The sequence below is a fragment of the Homo sapiens genome, chromosome 7 (genome assembly GCF_000001405.40).
Source record: "Homo sapiens chromosome 7, GRCh38.p14 Primary Assembly".
Taxonomy (NCBI): Eukaryota; Metazoa; Chordata; class Mammalia; order Primates; family Hominidae; genus Homo; species Homo sapiens.
In genome coordinates, this window is record NC_000007.14 from 90,396,292 (window position 1) to 90,417,934 (window position 21,643).

Here is a 21,643-nt window from a genome sequence, read left to right on the forward strand (position 1 = left end):
TGATAAAGAGATCAATTCAGCAAGAGGATATAACATTACAAATATCTGCACCCAACACCGGAGGTCCCAAATATATAAAGCAAACATTAATAGATCTAAAGGGAGAAATGGACAACAATACAATAATAGTAGGGGACTGTAACTCCCCACTCTCAGTAATGAACAGATCATCCAGACAGAAAATCATCGAAGCAACACTGGAGTGAAACTGCAAATTAGGCCGAAAAATGTATCTGATGAAGCCATATTGGCTGCCCTGGAGCCTCCAGAACTGAAAAAGAGCTGCAAGTGTGTGCTGCTATGAACATCTTTCCAGAGCCTTTCCTGCACAGCTGGTATTGGCATCATACCAAAAGCAGTGTTTATCAAACTAGAGATTAAAAATCAAAATTCATTTTTGCGATAATGACAAATGCCCTGGACTTACACACATGCACTCGTGTGAGACAAGGCCCATAAGTATCCCCACCTTCCCTCTCCCAGTACTAGTTAATTTTGAGTAATTGTGTATTGTCAGAAAAGTGATCAGTATTAGTTTTTGTTTTGTTGTTCCAAAAAAAATTTTATTTTTTAATTTAATTTTTTGTTTAAAAGCAAGGCATGCTGTGTTGACTCTGTAACAGACTAATTTGAATTGTTAAAACTGCTCCCTGGTTCTATTCTGGAGAGTAATCTGGGACATTTTAGTGAGTTTTTCCCCCTCTTTTTTGGGAGGGGGAGTATGGGTGGGGTTTGATTTTTAGTCTTGTTTATTTTAATTAACCAATGGACAGCCCTTAAGGGGAGGAGGACAGATTGATTCCACATTCCACTTTTTAGATCTCATTTAGAAAACATGTTCTCAATCTGGTGCTCTTAGGAAGAAGTATAGTAAATGCTTCATTTAATAATGTGCTACTTTTTGAAAGTTGCCTTTTCTCTTTACCCTTGAATAGATCCAGTATCTGATGATACTCATGAAAGTGCGTGGAACCTGTCTTGTCCCTCCTCTTTTCTAGTATGCACTATATATGTGACTGTGACTTTCAAAGACATTTATTTGCCATTTCCTGATTTGGGGGAAAATTAATTCCTAACTTCTTTCACTAATGAAGAAAAGTATTGCACATTGGAAATACACTAACTGGATTGAATATGTAATTTTTTTTTTTTTGATATGGAGTCTCGCTCTGTTGCCAGGCTGGAGTGCAGTGGCACAATCTTGGCTCACTGCAACCTCCACCTCCCGGGTTCAAGCAATTTTCCTGCCTCAGCCTCCCCAGTAGCTGAGACTACAGGTGCATGCCACCATGCCCGGCTAATTTTTGTATTTTTAGTAGAGATGGGGTTTCACCATGTTGGCCAGGATGGTCTCGATCTCTTGACCTCATGATCCGCCTGCCTCGGCCTCCCAGAATATGTATTTTAAAATAAATTTTTCCCTGTCAGTCATTGTCTTATATCCTTAGCATAGATTTGCAACTCAGTAGTATATTTTATCCCTAGAATGAAGCTGGAGACCTGGTATGTACAGGAAATATGAGAGGTGGTGCTAGAAGACAGACATCTATGGAATGATCCATATCCTTTCAAGTTATGGGAATGAAGACCTACTTCATTAAGAAGCTGGGGGTGAAGTGAGGGTGAGGAGAACACTTAACAACATTGGGACCAGTCAGGGAATCCCCTTATTTCTGTTTCACATATGAGGAACCCTAGAGCAGCTAGATGAGGCTCTCTAGTTTAATAAAATCATGGAAAGAGTCTTATGAAGGCTCTTCATAAGTGTTAACAGGGATTTATCAGCTTATTTTTGTTGCAGTTCCCAATTTCTAAAAATGTTTAGGTAATCTTTTCCTTTCCCCAATCCTAATTCTTATAGATTCACTAGTGTTGAACCAATGCTTTCTCATGTCTCAACTCTATATATGCATTCTTTTCAGATGTATTACATTAAAAAAGCCCTACACACACACACACACACACACACACACACACACACACACACACGACTGAACCATGAAGAAATAGCCTCAATAAACCAATAATGAGTAAAAAAAAAAGTCTCCCATCAATAAATAAAAAATAAGCCCAGGACCTGATGGCTTCACTGCTGAATTCTACTCAACATTTCAAGAACTAACACCAATTCTACTAAAACTCTTCAAAAAGATTGAAGACGAGAGAAAACATCCAAACCCATTTTATGAAGCCAGAATTACCATGATACCAAAACCAGACAAGGACAGAATGAAACAAGAAAACTATAGGCCGATATCACTAATGAACATACATGTAAAAATTCTCAACAAATTTTGAGATACTAGCAAGCCAAATTCAACAATATGTTAAAGACTGTGTGCAGTGGCTCACGCCTGTAATCCCAGCACTTTGGGAGGCTGAGGCAGGAAGACCGCTTGAGGTCAGGAGTTCAAGACTAGCCTGGCCAACATGGCGAAAACCCATCTCTACTAAAATACAAAAATCAGATGTGCATGGTGGCGCATGCCTGTAATCCCAGCTACTCAGGAGGCTAAGGCAGGAGAACCGCTTGAACCAGGGAGGTGGAGGTTGCAATGAGCCAAGATCATGCCACTGCACTCCAGCCTGGATGACAGAGCAAGACTCTTTCTCAAACAAAACATTATAAAGATCATTCACCATAATCAAGTGAGATTCATTACAGGGATGCAAGGATGGTTCAACATATGCAAATCAATAAATGTGATATATCACATTAACAGAACCAAGAACAAAAACAATATGATTATTTAAATAGATGCTAAACAAGCACTTGATAAAATCCACATCGCTTTTTGATAAAAAAAAAACCCTCATCAAATTGGGTATAGAAGGAACATACCTCAAAATAATAAAGGCCATCTATGACAAACCCATAGCTAACATTATACTGAACAGGGAAATACTGAAGGCCTTTTCTCTAAGATCTAGAACATGACAAGGATTCCCACTTTCACCACTTTTATTCAATATAGTACTGGAAGTCCTAGCCAGAGCAATTACGTAAAAGAAAGAAAGAGCATCTAAATTGGAAAGGAAGAAGTCGAATTAGCCTTGTTTACAGATGACATGATGTTTTACTTAGAAAAATCCACCAAAAAACTATTAGAACTGATAAACAAATTTAGTAAAGATGCAAGATACAAAATTAACATACAAAAATCAGTAGCATGTATATATGCCAAAAGCAAACAATTGAAAAATAAATCAAGAATGAAATTTTATTTATAATAGCTCCAAAGAATATAAAACACCTAGCAATTAATTTAACCAAAGATGTGAAAGATCCACACAAGGAAGACTATAAAACACTGATGAAAGAAATTGAAGAGGACACACAAAAAATGGAAAGATATTCCATGTTCATGGATTGAAAAATTAATATTGTGAGCATGACACTAACCTTGGCTATTGACAGATTCAGTGCAATCCCTTTCAAAATACTAATGACATTTTTCACAGAAATTTTAAAAAATTCTAAAATATATATGAAACCACGAAAGACCCTAAATAGCCAAAGCAATCCTGAGCAAAAAGACCGCAGCTGGAGATATCACACTACCTGACTTCAAAATTTACTATAAAGGCATAGTAATCAACACAGCATGGTACTGGCTTAAAAAACAGACACAGAGGCCAATGGAACAGAATAAAGAATGCAGATATAAACCCATGCATTTACAGCCAGTTCATCTTTGACAAAGGCACCAAGAACATACAATGGGGAAAGGACAGTCTCTTCAATAAATGATGCCAGAAAATTGGATATCCATATGTTGAAGAATGAAACTAGACCTCTATCTCTCACAATACACAAAAATCAAATATAAATGGATTAAAGACTTAAACCTAAAACCTGAAACTATGAAACTACTAGAAGAAAACATTGGAGAAACCCTCCAGGACATTGTCTGGGCAAGGATTTTTTGTGTAAGACCTTAAAAGCACAAGCAATGAAAGCAAAAATAAATAGGATTATATCAAGCTAAAAAGCTCTGCACAGGAAAAGAAACAATCAACAAAGTGAAGAGACAACACACAGAATGGGAAAAAATATTTGTGATCTACCTATCTGACAAGGGATTAATAACGAGAACATATAAGGAGCTCAAACAATAGCAAACACACATACACACACACAAATAACCTGATTAAAATATGGGCAAAAGATCTGAATAGACATTTCTCAAAAGAAGACATGCAAATGGCCAACAGGTATATGAAAAAATGCTCAACATCACTACTCATTAGAGAAATGCAAATCAAAACTACAATATCCCTCCCCAGTTAAAATGACTTTTATCTAAAAGGCAATAATAGATGCTGGCAAGGATGAGGCAAAAGGGAAACTCTTGTACACTGTTGATGGGGATGCAAATTAGTACAGCCATTGTGGAGAATAGTATAGAGGTTTCCAAAAAACCTAAAAATAGTACTACCATATAATCCAGCAGTTTCACTACTGGGTGTATATCCAAAAGAAAGGAAATCAATATATTGGAAAAACAATACACTTATGTATATTGTAGCACTATTCACAATGGTCAAAATATGAAATCAACCTAAATGCCCATCAGTGGATGAATGGATAAAGAAAATGTGCTATATTTACACGATGGAACATTATTCAACTATTACAAAAGAATGAAATCCTGTCTTTTGCAGCAACATGGATGGAACTAGAAGTCATTATGTTACGTGAAATAAGCCAAGCACAGAAAGACAAATAACACATGTTTTCACTCATGTGGGACATAAAAAAGTGAATCTCATGAAAATAGAGAGTAGGCTGGTGGTCATCAGAGACCGGGAAGGGTAGGGTGGAAGAGGGGTTTGAAAAGAAGTTGATTGATGGGTACAAATATATGGTTTGATAGAAGAACTGAGAACTAATGTTATATTAGTATGGTGACTATAGTTTACAGTAATGTGTTGTATATCTCAAAATAGCTAGAAGAGAATTCAAATGGTTTTAGCATAAAGCAAAGACAAATATTTAAGGTGATGAATATCCCAAGTACACTGATTTGATCTTTACAAATTATATGAATGTATTATATGATCATATCTACTTCTAAACACTATGAACATCTATCACACATTAGTAAAAAAGGGGAAAAACCCCTGCTGACATCCTGATTTTAGCACAGTGAGACCTGTGTCAGATTTTTGACCTCCAGAATTGTAAGATAATAAATTTATTGTGTTTTAAGCCTTTGAATTTGTGGTAATTTGTCACAGCAGCAATAGAAATCTAACACAGTGACCAAATGGGAATCTCTGTAGAATTTTGGTGGTGAATGGTACACTGCAGTGAATTTAAGATTTGACTTTCTCCTTGAAGAATCTCTAATGAGAAAAAGAGGAAAGACAGGATTGTTAATTGCAGATCTAAATTCTTATCTAAAGTATTTTTGAGAATTATATTCCAATTATCTAACTATTGAACTCCAACAGGGTATTTAAGTATTCTGTTCCATCTTTGCTATGCCAGAGGCAGGCATTTTAGACCCCAGCTTGAACAGTAAGTCTAGGAATAGGGTTGTCTTTCCTTCCTTTTTGTGCTGTGATTTTTTAAAATTATTGTAATCAATTGCAAGTACCTCCCAGCTAAAGTCCTCTAATCAGGCAGTATTCATCAGTGATTGGGAAATAAGTTATAAGATGATTTTGTACATAGTTATTTGATTCAATTCAGCTTTATAGATGAGAGAACTGAAGTTCAGAGGAAATAAGTGATTATCGTTTGTCACATTGCTATTATCCATCTGCTATTGCCAGAGCTGGCCTGGAGCCCAGAAATCTTTTCACCACCCAATGCTATCTTTCTTCCTCATTATTACATTTCCCAGTCTGGCTTTGGGATCGGATTGCTTCTGGCCTTAGATAACCTTATCCATCCTCTAAAGCAGTATCACACATAAGAAGGAGGTAGCAGTGGACTGATAGTAGCCTCTCTACCCTCCCTTTTTAAAAAGTCTCTGACAAATAGTCTCATTGTTACTAGAGCAACGCAAAATGGAAAATGCTAATAGCAAACATATAGTCCTTATTATGCGTCAGATACTGTTGTAACTGTCTCTGTAGTAATTCATTTAATCCTCATCACAATTTTCTGATGTAGATATACTGTTACAGATGAGACCTTGAGGCACAAAGGGGTTACCTTACTTGCCAAGGTTATACTTACTTGGGATGGGTGCCATCCTTTTGTATAAACTATGATACTTTTTCTTCTTTTTATTTTGAAAAATTTCTAAGATACAGAGAATTTGAAAGAATAGTACAAGAGACACCCACAAACATATTCTTCATGAATCCAACAATTATACACTTTGCCACACTTTATATCCATTTGTGTGTGTGTATGTGTGTGTGTATGTGTGATCATTTCGAAGTAGTAGGCATCACAACACTTCAGCATCCTTTATTTTTTAAAAAATCAGATCATTGCTATTTAGGACTTTGGAATCTTTTAGTTTAATTCAGATATTCATTCACTAATGCAGGACTTCACATTGGAGAGAAGCCAACAGAGAAAGGGACAGGACAGTAGAAATTGTGTGGGAGAGTAAAATTAGTTCAAATATCTAATAGCTAGCTATACTGTACTTTAGCTATATTAGGTCCCTCAGTTTTCAAGACAACAGTATGATGTGGGTGATCTTATCCCCATTTTTCCAGATAACCTCCAGATGTAGAGATAACTTTCCCAGGGCCACCCAATCAATACACAGCAAAGCCCCATACAAATCTGGGCTGTTTGGTTCTAGACTTTGAGCTCTTTTTCTACTTTTTGCCTAGATAAACACTTTGAGGGGAAAAAAAATCCAGATTTAAGAATTTTTGCTAACCTTCCTACGGGCAAGTCACCTTCAAGTCACCTGGGTACTTAGGTATCCAACTCAAAACTACTTTTAGTTTTGTTTCGTTTTGCCTTTTTTTTTTCTTTAACCGATAACCCAATTCTAGACGGAACATAAGGTGCAAGAGAAATCCGGGGAGGTGGAGGCAGAGAAAGGGAAGGGCAGGAGGTGGTCGCAGGATGTTGCCTGCGGCTGGCGGCCCAGTGGATTCTGGGAATTGTAGTCCCAGCCATCCAGGGCATTGCCGTTCAGGGCCACGGGAAAACCTGACTGCGCTCCCAGAAGCCTCCGGTGTACCTCGCTGGGAACGCACTTCCTGGGACGCTGAGAGGGAGACGCTCCAAGAGGCTCCTCAGTGTGGGCGAGTAAAATGCCCTGCGTGTGAGAAGCAGGTAGGTGTGGTCAAGATGTTCCGATTTCTGGGTCTTTTGCATAAGTAACTGAGGATTTTATGTAAAATGGCTAAATCCAGGAGAATCAGGAGCGTTGGAAAACGCTGACCACATCTGTGGATGTGAAAATTGAGTAGGTATTTGGTAAGGCTTTAAAAAATTATTTTGTACACAGGAGTATGGAAATGTCGAGGTGTGTTGCCGGAGCCGCCAAGGACTGGGAGCTTTGCTGGCGCGGGTTTGTGGGGGAGCCCAAGCTGCTATTTTTGAATAACCAGCTGATGCTGGTTGCGTAATGATGACCTGCTTGCGGTTCAAACCCACTCAGTGTTGCAGGGATGGGCTAGCTCTGAGAGCGTTAACAGTCACTGTTGCGGTCTCTCTCCATTGGCTCTAACTAGTAGGGCGTTTTCTTCCTTCTGCCAGGTCTGGGTCTACCACACACAGGGCTCTTCGAAAAGAGGGAGGAGGAGAGGAGGCGGAGGGGGGAGGAGGGGGGCGGAGGGGGATGCGGATTGCTCTGGAAGCTTGGTTTGCTTTCCTGTAAGTTCTGTGCACCCGGCCTTGTAAGGGGCCCATAGCCACGTTAGGGAAAGGTCAGACTTGGTGACCTCACTTAAAATGATTGCTCAAGGATTCTATTGTGCGTTATTAATTGTAAAACGATTTCCTCTGACTTTGGAGTGTGCAATTATGATTGATACCAACCCAAGAAACACATTTGGGGCGGGGGAGGGGTTGGGGGGGACTTGACTGAAATCTCCGAGCAGCCAGTTGCAGAGAGCATTCTACATAATGATCGTAATAGGGCTAGTGATGAACGCCTCAATCCAGGAAACTCTCAGGCGCACATAATAATGAGTTTCCATTCTCATCCTACCTGTTTGAGATAAATGGTATTTGAAGAGGAAGTGGCTAATGTTTAAAGTAGATATATAGAAGCATCTTTAAGTATCAGGTTGAGCCATTGGTGGAACTATTTTTTTTTTAAGCATTCTGGTTGCAAATTTCAGGATGCAGAATTCAGATCAACTTTGTCTGGTCTTGTTGTCAGTGTCCTTTTTTAAAAATGTAAAAGAAAATTTCTTTTACTTCCAAGACAACTGCACAGTCTTTCACCACCTTCCTTATCCTTTCACCGTAGTCATGAAAATGATCTAAAACATTCATTAAATATCAATCATATATTCCCAAGACAGCAAAGTGTTTTTCATCCTCATTTCTCCTATATTCTCAAGTCACAAGATGAGTTAATTTTTTTCTTCTATTTCTACGTATTTTTCTATATTCTATATATTTCTCATATATAATGCATGAATTAAGGAATAAACAGCCTTTTTATTTTTTTTTTTTTATTATTTGAGACAGATCATTGCTATGTCATCCAGGCTGGAGTGCAGTGGCATGATCATGACTCACTGTGTCCTCAAACTCCTGGGCTCAAGTGATCCTTCCATGTCAGCCTCCCAAGAAACTGGGACAACACGTGTGCACCATCACACCTGGCTAATTATTATTATTATTATTTTTTGAGCCAGAATCTCTCTCTGTCACCAACACTGGAGTGCAGTGGTGCAATCTCAGCTCACGGTAACCTCCACCTCCCAGGTTCAAGCGGTTCTTGTGCCTTAACCTCCCACATGGCTGGGACTATAGGCATGAGCCACCATGCCCAGCTAATTTTTGTATTTTTAGGAGAGATGGGGTTTTGCCATGTTGGCCAGGCTGGTCTTGAACTCGGGCTCAAGTGATCATCCCGCCTCAGCTTCCCAAAGTGTTGGGATTACAGGTGTAAGCCACTGTGCCCCTGCTAAACTGCCTTTTTAAAAAACTTACTGTCTGCCCTTTTTAGTATAACATTTCATTGGTTTTAGGTGATTACTAATCATTTCTTCTAATCCATGGGAATTCAAGCAGGGTTTTTAGAGAAGTACTATGTTAATTTGGAGTATTTTTCCTATTTCTTTAGGCTCAGATTATTGCTACTCTGTATTCAGATCTTCATGTGTCTCTTCTAAGCTGAATAAAGCTGTTTTGGAACTGTCAGGTACCTCAAAGCGTAAGTACGTCCTTTAATTATATCTTATTTCCCTCCCTCCTGCTACCACATCTGCCAACAATGACTCTTTTTTTTTCTCTTGTTCAACAAAATAGAGGTATAGGACAGACCTCTCTTGTGAGTACAATGACTGATGACTTACAGTTTCTAAGAAAACCCAAATTATAGGTAGAAGGAACTCTCAATGTTACCATCAAGAATTAAGTTAGGGCTGGGCATGGTGGCTCAGCCCTGTAACCCTAGCGCTTTGAGAGGCTGAGGTGGAAGGATCCCTTGAGCCCAGGAGTTTGAGACCATCCTGGGCAACATAGCGAGATCCTGACTGTATGAGAAAATTTTAAAAAATTAGCCAGTTGTGGTGGTACATGCCTATAGTCCCAGCTACTCTGGAAGCTGAGGTGGGAGGATTGCTTGAGCCTCGGAGGTCGAGGCTGCAGTGAGCCATGATTGCACCACTGTGCTCCAGCCTGGGTGAGAAAGCGAGACCCTGTCTCAAAAAAATAGAAGCTAGCTGCTATTAGACATATGTACTCTCGTAACTCTTGTAACTATAACTCAGAATTGTGCCTGGAAAAAATAGTACAGGGTCTATTGGATACATGACTTCCTAAAGCTCTTAGCCACTGTTCCTGCTCCAGCCTTCTTTAAATTCTATTCAAAACCACAGAAAATATATAATTTGAAAATATTTTTATTCGTAATTATGTCTCTGATAACATTTAATTGTGTATCAAATTTTATCTACTTTTCTGAGTCACGGTGGAACAGAGAGTCAAATGACAAATGTGAAGTGGTTATTTGAAATAGAGTCTCTATTTGATTTGGTCAGTATCTCCAAAGAGAATGTTCTGTCCTTCTTGTTATATGACTATAACCATCTGTAGTCATTTGCTGAGGGTCCAGAAGAAAAGTATGTTTCTAGCTGAAAAAAGTAAATAAGCCTGCTAATAATCATTACTGACTTACATTTCTGACCATATTCTGGTTTACAAAGGACTTTGCTATTCATGATTTTACTACTTTGTGGGACACTTTACAGATGAAAAATTGGAGGTTCAGAGGACATAAGTGACTTGTCCAGTTTGTAAATGATAGGTTATGAATGTTATTCAGGTCTTTGGTCTCCTGGACAACAATACCAAGCAGCCTCCTGGATGGAAACAACAAACCACTTATGTGTATGTATGACCTAGCTCAAAGCTCTCATCCAGCTAGTACTCATGACTGCTTGACAGATTTGTTAAAGTGTTCTTAGCCTTGCACGTTTTCCACAGTCCCTAATTAGGGATTTTCACATGGCAAAAAGATGTTTTTTTTTCTCCATTAAAAAAACTATATATTGTTTAGCTTTAATAAATATTAATTTGATATATTAACCACTCTTAAGAGAAGTATGTCTAATTCATGACATACCTGTTAAGTTGAAAACAGAAAAATCAATACCGGAACAGTGGACTTTTTGTTTTTGAAATGGAGTCTCGGGGTTTCACCATATTGGCCAGGCTAGTCTCAAACTCCTGACCTCGTGATCCACCCACCTCGGCCTCCCAAAGTGCTGGGATTACAGGCATGAGCCACCACGCCGCGCCAGGAATAATTGACTTTCAAACCATTTGTTGAAGTTAGACAGTGTTGCTAAACCTAGATATATATTTCTAGAATCATAGTCTGCATGTAGGTACCTAAGGATGGCCTTGTCTTTGCTAATCACAGGTTTCTGGGGTAAGAAAATGAATGTTGTTTTGTAAAATGGGAGTCTTTTGGCCAAAAAGGAGAAAGCAGGGGCACAGTCTAGAAACAGTCTGGATGTATCAGAACACAGGGTGGTGTGAATTCTCTCAAATGAAGTGAATGGAACTGAGACTAAATTTCTGTCTGTATTCTGACCAGAGTTATACAGAACCTCCATTTGTTTGTTCATTCATTCAGCAAATAATCGAGTGCCTTTTATGTGCCAGTATAGGGAACAGTGAACAAAACAAAGGGATCTCTGTCCCTGGAATTCACAGTCTGATGGGAAAGAAAACTACACTGAACAAGGAGTTATAAGAATGATCACTGCTACAGAAGAAAAAGTGCAAAAGTGCTACCACAGCATATAACCAGGGACAGGGGGAGGTTTAGGACAAGCCTCCCTGGACACTAGAAGAATGAGTAAATATTAGCCAAGCAAAGAATAGGTTGGAATTAAGAAAGTTCTAGGAGAAAGACCATGAGGGAAGGCCCTTAACCAAATCAGAAAGTGGAAAATTTGGGAAGTCAAAAGAAATGTGGTTTGGCTGCATAGACTGTAGTGTGTGGGGTGGGAGAGTGGCACATACGAAGGTTGAGAATTTGGTAGGAATCAGGTGGTGTAAGCTATGGGGAGGAGTTGAAACTTTAGAGATTTTATTCTGTGGGAAATGGGAACTTATTGAATGGTAAGAAATGGAATGGCGGATGAGGTTTGCATTTGAAAAAAATTATTGTGGATTAAAACTAATTGACACAGCACAAGAGTAGAGGTCTTTTTACCCTTGCAAGTATGAACAAATCCTAATCGGGAAGTCAGCATTATCTTTGTTTTAAAACATCAAACATATTCTTTCCCCAAACTATCCTATAAAATTTTACTTCAGGCATGGTGGCTTACTTTTGTAATCCCAGCCCTTTGAAAGGTGGAGGTGGGGGGATTGCTTGAGCCCAAGAGTTCAAGACCAGCCTGGGCAACACAGCAAGACCCCATCTCTAGGGAAAACTTAAAAATTAGTCTGGCATGGTGGCATGCACCTGTTATCCCAGCTACTCAGGAGGCTGAGGCAGGAGGATTACTTGAGCCCAGGATCTCAGCTCACTGAAATCTAGTGAGCTGTGATCATGCCCTGCACTCCAGCTTGGGTGATAGAGTAAGACCCTGTCTTAAAAGAAATTACTTTATCTCTCTGGTGGGATATATGACTTATCAAATCATAGGCATTTGAAATTAAGAACAGGGCATACAAGGTGAAGTAGCCAAAAGAAGCTAGACATTAATTCCAGTATCAGGCCAAAATTTAGCTTAAGAATTAAGGTTAATAGTACTTCCCTTCTGAAAAAGTGCCGTGGTATCCTTGTTGACTCTGTATAGATAGGCCTCTGTCCATCCCTGAGATCTGAGCTAAGAATGCTTCATCAAAGGCAATTTCAGAGAACCAATATAATATTTGTATTGATTTGATGCAGAATATAGTTAAAAGCACTTACTACTGAAATATATATTGTCGTACCTCTCTTCATTAATGTCATTTGATAGTCTATAGGCTAAGAATTATAGGAATTTATTTATTTTTCTTAATAATTAATTTTTCTTTTTTTTGTAGAGATGGGGTCTCGCTATGTTGCCCAATCTGGTCTCAAACTCCTGGGCTCAAGCTATCCTCCCACCGCAGCCTCCCCAAGTGCTGGAATTACAGGCATGAGCCACAGCACCTGGCCTGGAATTTATTAATAATGGAGTTATACATCCTGATCTTGTTTCTCACTCCATTTACATTTCAGGAATCAGTGTTACAGGGCAGTTTGATTGGAGAAATCTCAATTACATTGAAATTCCAATTATTTCTATACTACTTTTGTTTTTTGTTCCTGTTTGTTTGTTTGTTTGTTTGTTTTGAGACAGAGTCTCGTGCTCTGTCACCCAGACTGGAGTGCAGTGGTGTGATCTGGCTCACTGCAACCTCCACCTCCTGGGTTCAAGCGATTCTCCTGCCTCAGCCTCTTGAGTAGCAGGGATTACAGGCACGTGCCACCATGCCTGGCTAGTTTTTGTATTTTTAGTAGAGATGGGGTTTCACCATGTTGACCAGGCTGGTCTGAAACTCCTGACCTCAAGTGATCTACCAGCCTTGGCCTCCCAAAGTGCTGGGATTTCAGGCATGAGCCAATTCGCCCAGCCAGTATATTACTTCTGAAAGCAAGAAGGAATTGTGATTGCATTAGGACTTTGAGTGGGTTATCTGAAGACTTCTGAAGCTTGAAAGAAACGAGGGAACCTTTTTCCTATGTCTTCACAACTTTAATCAAATCCTTATTCTCCTTCATTTCTCAGTCTTTAACTCCTGCCTGATAAATTTTTATGAACAGGTACCTTATTCACTTTGCTTAACACCTAACAATAATCACTTGATACGTAGTAATTATACAGTTGATTCACCACCAACACTTTGAGTTTACATAAGACAGCCGTTTCTTTCCACAAGTCTCTATAAACACATTGGGAGCAAGGTCCAGTTATCAGTGGTCTTGGTGTCTTTCCAGGGCCTAACAGAGTGTTTTGCATATGCTAGACACTCAGCATGATGTAAGTACTTGCTGAATGAATGATTGCTTCTTAGTAATAGCTACTTCCTTGTACAGTTCTTCATTACCAGTGGCCCACCTTTGTGAGTTACTGGGGTCTTTGTACAGAGCCCAATACTCGTTTATTCAAATAATCCTAGAATCACTTGTGTGCCAGGCACACAAGTTGTATGGGGGAGATAGACAGATGAATAAGCAAAGACCACCAGAGAGCTGTATCCTAGAGCTTGGCATTTCTAGTAGCTTTTTCCAGTGCAAACATTCTCAAATCTGTACTAGTTTCCATTGCTGTACTGAGGTGTTTGGTTGCCACAATTAAGCAAGACAGCTTTTTCCCAATTTGCTTGAAAAAAATACTGTAATTAGTCTCTCCCTTTCATAAAATTTTCTTAAGAAATTGCTACTTCTGATAATACTGACAGAAGGTAACATAATAAATACTAAACTAATACTAATGGAAAAACTTAGAACTAACCATGTTTAACTTGAGGGCTTTAAAAATGGTTACTTGTGCTTAAACTCTGATTTTTATATTGTACATTTATATATGCTATTTGTGTATATTTGAATATATGTATGTACACATAGGCATTTTTTTGGTTAGTAAAATTATTCTGGCTGGGCGCAGTTGCTCATGACTATAATCCCAGCTTGTAATTTCAGCACTTTTGGAGGCCAAGGCAGCAAGATTGCTTGAGGCCAGGAGTTCGAGACCAGCCTGGCCAACATGGTGAAACCATGTCTCTAAAAGAAAGAAAAGAAGAAAGGGAATAAGAATTGTGGGGGTGGAAGGAGGAGGGCTGGTTCACACCTGTAATCTCAGTACTTTGGGAGGCTGACGCTGGTGGATTGCTTGAGCCCAGGAGTTCGAGACCAGCCTAGGCAACATGAGAAAACCCCGTCTCTACAAAAAATACAAAAATTAGCTGAACATAGTGACGTGTGCTTATGGTCCCAGCTACTCAGGAGGCTGAGGTGGGAGGATCGCTTGAGCCTGGAAGGTCAAGGCTGCAGTGAGCCATGATTGTGTCATTGCACTCTAGCCTGGGCAACAGAGTAAGACTTGTTTCAAAAAAAAAAGAAAGAAAAAGAAAAAATTATTCCTATATTATATGACTAGATTAAATATACAAATAACATTGTTTTCTAAAGAACATTGTGCCCTCCCACTGGAATTCATGCAACAATCACATTCTAAGCCAGCTTCCTAGCATTTTGGTCATAATTGTCTTTCTGATCCTGAAAGCTTGGAAACACAACTTCACCATCCCAGCAGATGTTTGATTCTGCAAAGGTTGATGGAACTGTATTCAGAAATAAAAATTATTCTCAACCTTGCCCCTTCATCATGCTCTGAACAAAAAAGTAAACCTTACTGAAGTAGTCTGCTCTATTGCCTCATAGTAGGCATTATAGAAGGCAGAGAAAATACATTTGAGTCCTGCTTTGAGAGTGAATATCAGACCCTTGAGGAAATTAAAGCTGAATAAGATGCAAGCTTTTTATAGTTTGCCATATACAGAAAAAGAACATGGCCTTTTAATTTGGAATGAAAGGCCTGGCGACTGTTTTTCTTATAATAGCATTAATAGAAATAGGTTGTCGTTACTTGAAAAATGTTTGCATTCGTCTTATATGAACAGTAGTAGTAATAACCAACAAGTGCTGTAGATTTCCCTGAAAATCTACATCTTGAATCAACAAGGAAGTAATTGGGTCATGTTGAATCAACAAGGAAGTAATTAAGCAGAATAATTTCAGGGACCATTGTTCTCATCTTTTCATTTGACTGACTCATTGGAGATGAGCTCATTTACTTTTTATAATTTCCTAGTGTGCCTAGTACATAGGAATGAGATCAGTTTGTTTTTTCTTATTTAACATTCATTCAATGAATGTTCTTTGAACTCCTGTGATGTGCCAAGCAGTGAGCTGGGTCACTGAATGCTAAGAAGTAGTTAACACTTGGCATAGCATTTGTTGTGTTCTAGACATGTTTTAAGCACTTGACATTATATTATCTCATTGAACCCATAGAACAACCCTGCAAGGTTGGCACTGTTATTTTTTCCATTTCACAGATGAAGAAAACGAGGCACAGGGAAGTTCTGAATCTGGCCCAAGGTCAGTGAGCTAGTAAGTGAGGAGATGGGGATTAGAATTCAAGCAACCTTGCTAAGAGTTGACTCTCAACCATTCCCCTGTCCTGTACTGCTTCTTTCCCTACACCTTTGCTTTTTATGAGCCACCTTCACCCCTGCTGCATGAGCATTTGAGGCTGAATTTGTGGTGTTTGTAGCTAACTGATGATTGATGAGTGGGCCCTTGCTGTGTGAGTGCCTGACACATACAGAGTGCTTGATGTATATGTGTTGAAAGAACGATTATTGACAAAAAGAAGATTGAAGGTGTGATTGTAAGAGACTTTAACATTATCTTGGTTGTTTTTTTAATTGTGAAGAAAAATACCGATGGCTAAAGATTTTAGTTGCTCTATGACCCAGTCAGTAATAACCAAATGTGTGTGCACCTGTGCTCTGAGGTCACACACACCTGCATGTATATACATTTGTACTGTACAGAGAGGAAACAAGGGAGAGACTTTCCCTCTTTGCATTGACATTTCATCATTAGATGTGTTGCCAGTTGGCACCACCCTTCCTGCTCTGTTCTGCTATTGTCCCCTCATGATTTGTCCTCTTGTGTGTCACCCCCTAGTCTGACTGACAGTACTCCACAAGCTTGCCTGCCATGGGCTGTCGGGATGTCCACGCAGCCACAGTCCTTTCCTTCCTGTGTGGAATCGCCTCAGTAGCAGGCCTCTTTGCAGGGACTCTGCTTCCCAACTGGAGAAAATTACGATTGATCACATTCAACAGAAACGAGAAGAACCTGACTGTTTACACAGGCCTGTGGGTGAAATGTGCCCGGTATGACGGGAGCAGTGACTGCCTGATGTACGACACTACTTGGTACTCATCAGTTGACCAGCTGGACCTGCGTGTCCTCCAGTTTGCCCTACCCCTCAGCATGCTGATCGCCATGGGTGCCCTGCTGCTCTGCCTGATTGGAATGTGCAACACTGCCTTCAGGTCCTCGGTGCCCAACATCAAACTGGCCAAGTGTCTGGTCAATAGTGCAGGTTGCCACCTGGTGGCTGGGCTGCTATTTTTCCTGGCAGGTACTGTGAGCCTCTCCCCATCTATCTGGGTCATCTTTTATAACATCCATCTGAACAAGAAGTTTGAGCCAGTCTTTTCATTTGACTATGCAGTGTATGTCACTATTGCTAGTGCTGGGGGCCTGTTTATGACTTCCCTTATACTATTTATTTGGTATTGTACATGCAAATCTTTGCCTTCTCCTTTCTGGCAACCATTGTACTCCCATCCACCCAGTATGCATACTTACTCACAGCCCTATTCAGCACGCTCTCGCCTCTCTGCCATTGAAATTGACATTCCAGTAGTTTCACACACCACTTAATGGGGAAATAGTTAATTGTTAAAGAAAACTTCTTGTAGCCTCACATTCCCCTTGTGCAAAGAGCTCTTTTGGACCTACATACATTTTCCTTTGTTTTTGACCAATCAATGAAGCCAAATTTATATGTCCTAGTAGAATGAAGTGCTGCTAGTTTTTATGAGAAGTATATTATATTAAATGTGAATTTTTTAAATTTTGCTTCTTATACTGGAAGGAATTTTAGCCTTCATATTGATATCTAATTAATTATTTAAGTGGAAGAGGCCTGCATCACAATTGAGGTAATGTAGAGCAACATGTTAAAGAATGATGGTTAGCAGAAGCTGTTGTATACAATCTTCATGAAAATTTCAGTGTGTATTTTTCTTTTTCTATAATACCTTTAACTGCAAAGAAAAGGCAGTTTCAAATATAAGAAATTTATTTCAGGTAAGGGTAATATTTTAATAGTAGTCAATAATCTAGCTTAAGGCTGTAACTCTTCTATCGGGGCTAATTGTATGAATAGGTGTCAGTATGTTGAAGATTACTTTCTTTTGTGACTTTCTTCTACCTCATGCCACTGTTTAAAAGTAAAACGTATTTTAACGATGTTAGAATAAGACTACCATTCTAAATATCACCTACTTATGAATAACATGTAATAATTTTTAACATTAATGATTCCATAAATTGTATTATTGGGATTAGAATGTGCTTTATGACAGGTTAGTGTTTCCTCTGAGGCAGAAAACTCTTTTTTGGAGATATCTTCCATCAAGCAGTACTCGTGCCCATATACAATCTCTTAGTGGCTAGGAGAAATAAATAAAAGGGCCATAATGGTTTGTTCTCTTTCAGACATAATTTAGTAGGGGACAAGAAGTCTGTTCTTCAGTGAGTACACTAGAGATTTACTCTGGTGACTGCCTTTTGAGTTATGGGTGAAGTAAGGTATGGCTTTACCATAACCTTGATTCATTCACCCTTGATTCATTTCTCGCCCCCGTCACTGATTATTTCCTTGAGCATATATCTCTGCCTAACACTTTAGTAGGTGCTATAGAGGATACATGAAAAGTATGAGATCTGGTTCCATCCAGTAAGACATTTTAATAGAGAAGATCAAAATGTTACCTGGCAGTTGGGGAATAATCTGACTTCGTTGGCAGTTGGCCTTAACTTCTTAATCATTGATCCAGGAATATTTCAACCAGAGACACAACTTTCTGGCAGACAGACAAATTGTACAACACCAACAATATCCTGGACCTTGAAATTCTGTTTACTTCAGTCCATTGTATCCTTTAAGGCACCTGTGCTAGCCTAGATTTTGTAATAACACTGATTTATGAGAATGGACAAAAGTGGTAGGGAAATTGTTCCCTCTCCACTTCTGAAAGTATGATGATGTATTAAGGATGGAGGAGTTATTAAAAATGTCTCTTCTGATGAGGTAACAATTAGATGAAACCATGTTAAAGCTGAGATGAACACTTAGAAATTCAGGGATATTGGGTCTTTAGCCTTATGAATTTGAGCTGCTTATTTAATTGGTGTAATTTACTACATATTAGTACTATATTCGTAAGGATTTTTTATTAACCATTACAGATTTTACAAACAGCTAGTTATATGGTAAACAGATTATTATGCCTTTTTGCAATTCTGAATATGATTCTAGTATTTGTGTAGATGTATTTGGTACTTTTTCCCCTAATTCCAACACTAGTTTATATATATAGCGAATAAATCTAGTTGTATAAATTTTTAAATGCCGTCAGTAGAAAGCACACAAGGTTATGATTTTTTTAATTACTGGCTTCTGATTTCTTTCACTTCTGATCCTTTTCCTTTTTCTCAGATGTAGCTGAGTCTTGATCATTTTAAGACAACGATGGGTAGAATTTTGAGATTAATGTTAATTTTCCCTTTTTGTTAATTTCAGTCCCCTCTCACTATGCTTTTGTCCAGAAGGATCAAGAATTCTACCATCCCTTGGGTCTTTGTGTATAAACAATGTTAAATAAAGGTAGACTCAGTCTTTAAGATATTAGACAGTTTTTTTAGTCCATGGGATTGTAAATATAAACATTAACTTTCCTATAAGAATATTTTGGCTTTGTAATCTATAGCCTCAAATTGGTATTTATTATGGATTCACTAGACAAACAGCTGTTTCCTTATTGTCTTTTTTCTTTAGTGTTTCTGATTTGCTATCAGTAGCTGTTTTTAAAGCCGTCCAAGGAAAATAATTATTTACAGTTTTTGAAGTCACTTTTGAGCCCTCATCAAGCTCTCATTGTGATGGGAGGGATACCTTTTTGTTGTTAAAAGCCTATTATTGTTAAAGGCCTTTTATGGAAACCAACTTGGAAAACAACCTTAAATGTGGATGTATCAGATTTGGTTTATCCAGCCATGGGAGAGAAAACAAACCTAAGTTTACTTTACTTGTACATATACACTACAATGGATAGTATATTTGCTGTAAACTACAATGTAAAACCTCAATAAAAGTGCGCTGTACTTCTTAATGTTTATTAAAAGATGTATTTTTACAAGTTTCTGCTTCTGTTTTTTTCCTCAGTGTTTTAAGGTGAAATATTTTGAGAAATGTTTCTCAGATATATGTAAATTGAAAAAGACAGTTCCATTTAAAGCTCTAAAACGTGTGAACTGGAAGGCTGGGTGCAGTGGCTCACGCCTGTAATCCCAGCACTTTGGGGGGCCAAGGCAGGCGGATCACTTGAGGTCAGGCCCTTGAGATCATCCTGGCCAACGTGGTGAAACCCTGTCTCTACTAAAAATACAAAAAATTAGCCAGGCATGGTGGTGTGCACCTGTAATCCCAGCTACTCGAGTGGCTGAGGCACGAGAATTGCTTGAACATGGGAGGTGAAGGTTGCAGTGAGCTGAGATCATGCCACTGCATTCCAGCCTGGGTGACAGAGACTTTGTCTCAGAAAAAGGAACTAGAAAGGAATTGGAAAACATGGAACTTTTATTCCACAAGTGCCAAGACGTTTTATCCATTTCTAAGAGTAGTCCAAGTAGTCCTGTGGTCCTAACAGTTCACTGGGCTTTTTTTTTTCTCCTTTTCTTTTTTTTTTAAACAGTCTGCAAAGAGACAAGTTGTGGGCCAGATTTGCCTCATCAATGGAGTTTTCTCAGCCTGTGATCTTAGAGACTGGGAGTTCAGTTCTCAAACAGTTAAGTAGAGGGAACTTTCCGTACTCTTCAAAGCTCGAGGTTACCAGGAGAAGTGGTCCTGACAGGCATGTCACCTCAACATTTCTGAAACCTGTGATGAATGTATAGTTTTGGATTACACCTGTGTTGGGGCAGTTCTTACATACACTTCTCACTGAAACCTGTGGCTCTGATAGGTTAGATAGCTGAGCCATATGTTGCACTGGAAATCAGAAGCTACTTCAAACTGGGTTACACTAACGAACAACAGTCCGTTCTGGACTGTTGTGCAGGTTCACTGAGGGTGAATAAATGGTAGAGAAACCATTCGGGCTAACCAGGTTCACCAGAGACTGGTTTACCAACCAGAAGTGAGAAATACATGTTACTTAGAACCATCAGACACAACCAGTTTTATCCAAGGCCCAGCACATCTTATTCTGCCAAAAAGTGAGGAAACGCTCAAAGAATCATGGGAGCTTATCAAATTTCACAGGCGCCAGATTGAAGGTGCTCCCATTGGCCAAATCTGGGACAATCTGAACATCAAAATAAATGATAGTAATGGGTTATAACTCATTGAATAAAATACAAATCCATATGTCCATGCTGATATAAATAGGGGAAGAAAGAAAAGCTCTTTCTTATAGTAAAATACCAAATAAAAAGTAGAGAAAAAAATGAGAAAAACATCAATGGGGTTAAAACTAGTTGAATTTTTTATGAGAGGCAGGATATTTGCTTAGTCTCAAAGTACAAAATGGCTTATTAATTTCAGAGAGGAAAATAACTTTATAGTGGATAAACTTGGCAACCTTAGCTGAGTGATCAAGTTTGTCACCAATAATAAGAAAAAGCAACATCATGCACTTTCTGATATGATGCAAGGAGAAGGCCACAATATTTCTGAGGTATTGCCTGAGTCTAATCTTGAAACATGCAGCTCATTGGTCCCATTTATGCTTTTTGTTTCCTTCTCTATCCTGATCTCATATCTCTTCATTTTTATAAAAAATGCATAAAAATATAGTCCTATCTCCAAAATATTTTATAAAATAAACTCTTTTAGGAGAGATTTTAAAAGAATTTGTGTCAGATCTTCTGTCCTGAAAAACTAAAAAGTCCCTGCAGAAGAGTTGTAAATCAAAGTCACAGAAACACAGGACTGGATGGTAACTTAATTAGCTGTTCCATTTCTGTTGGTTAGCAGTGTCTTCAATCTGAAAGCGTACTCACGTTACCCCACACATACTAGAGGACCCTTTCCAGGAGAGGTTCATTCCCCCTGTACCTGCTGGGTGGCTCATTACCCTCCAGCCCAGCCAGCTTCTATGTCAGTGCCATAGCATGCA

General features: G+C 38.9%; 1 protein-coding gene and 1 pseudogene across 4 annotated transcripts, besides 1 other annotated feature; both read left to right on the plus strand.

Moving 5' to 3' along the window:
• LOC101409256 (cell division cycle 42 pseudogene) lies at window positions 1–1,945 on the plus strand (annotated as a pseudogene). Its single transcript, NR_102424.1, has one exon. The product of NR_102424.1 is annotated as a cell division cycle 42 pseudogene (transcript).
• A 5,224-nt stretch (window positions 1,946–7,169) lies between these two features.
• CLDN12 (claudin 12) lies at window positions 7,170–19,663 on the plus strand. Of its 3 annotated transcripts, NM_001185072.3 has the most exons (4): window positions 7,170–7,258; window positions 9,228–9,317; window positions 15,716–15,758; window positions 16,353–19,663. In NM_001185072.3, the coding sequence occupies exon 4, from the start codon at window positions 16,386–16,388 to the stop codon at window positions 17,118–17,120; it is 735 nt and encodes a 244-aa protein (NP_001172001.1). In that variant the 5' UTR covers window positions 7,170–7,258; window positions 9,228–9,317; window positions 15,716–15,758; window positions 16,353–16,385; the 3' UTR covers window positions 17,121–19,663. The 3 variants fall into 3 exon arrangements, with proteins under 3 accessions (NP_001172001.1, NP_001172002.1, NP_036261.1); NM_001185073.3 differs by lacking the exon at window positions 15,716–15,758 and having other exon boundaries at window positions 9,228–9,321; NM_012129.5 differs by lacking the exon at window positions 15,716–15,758.
• Window positions 7,350–7,875: an enhancer, noted in NCBI's record as "H3K27ac hESC enhancer chr7:90032955-90033480 (GRCh37/hg19 assembly coordinates)". NCBI's record gives its function as "activates a minimal SCP1, AML or CMV promoter by ChIP-STARR-seq in naive H9 embryonic stem cells {active_cell/tissue: H9 hESC(naive)}" and the evidence as "EXISTENCE:reporter gene assay evidence [ECO:0000049][PMID:30033119]".
• Window positions 19,664–21,643: the final 1,980 nt, after the last annotated feature.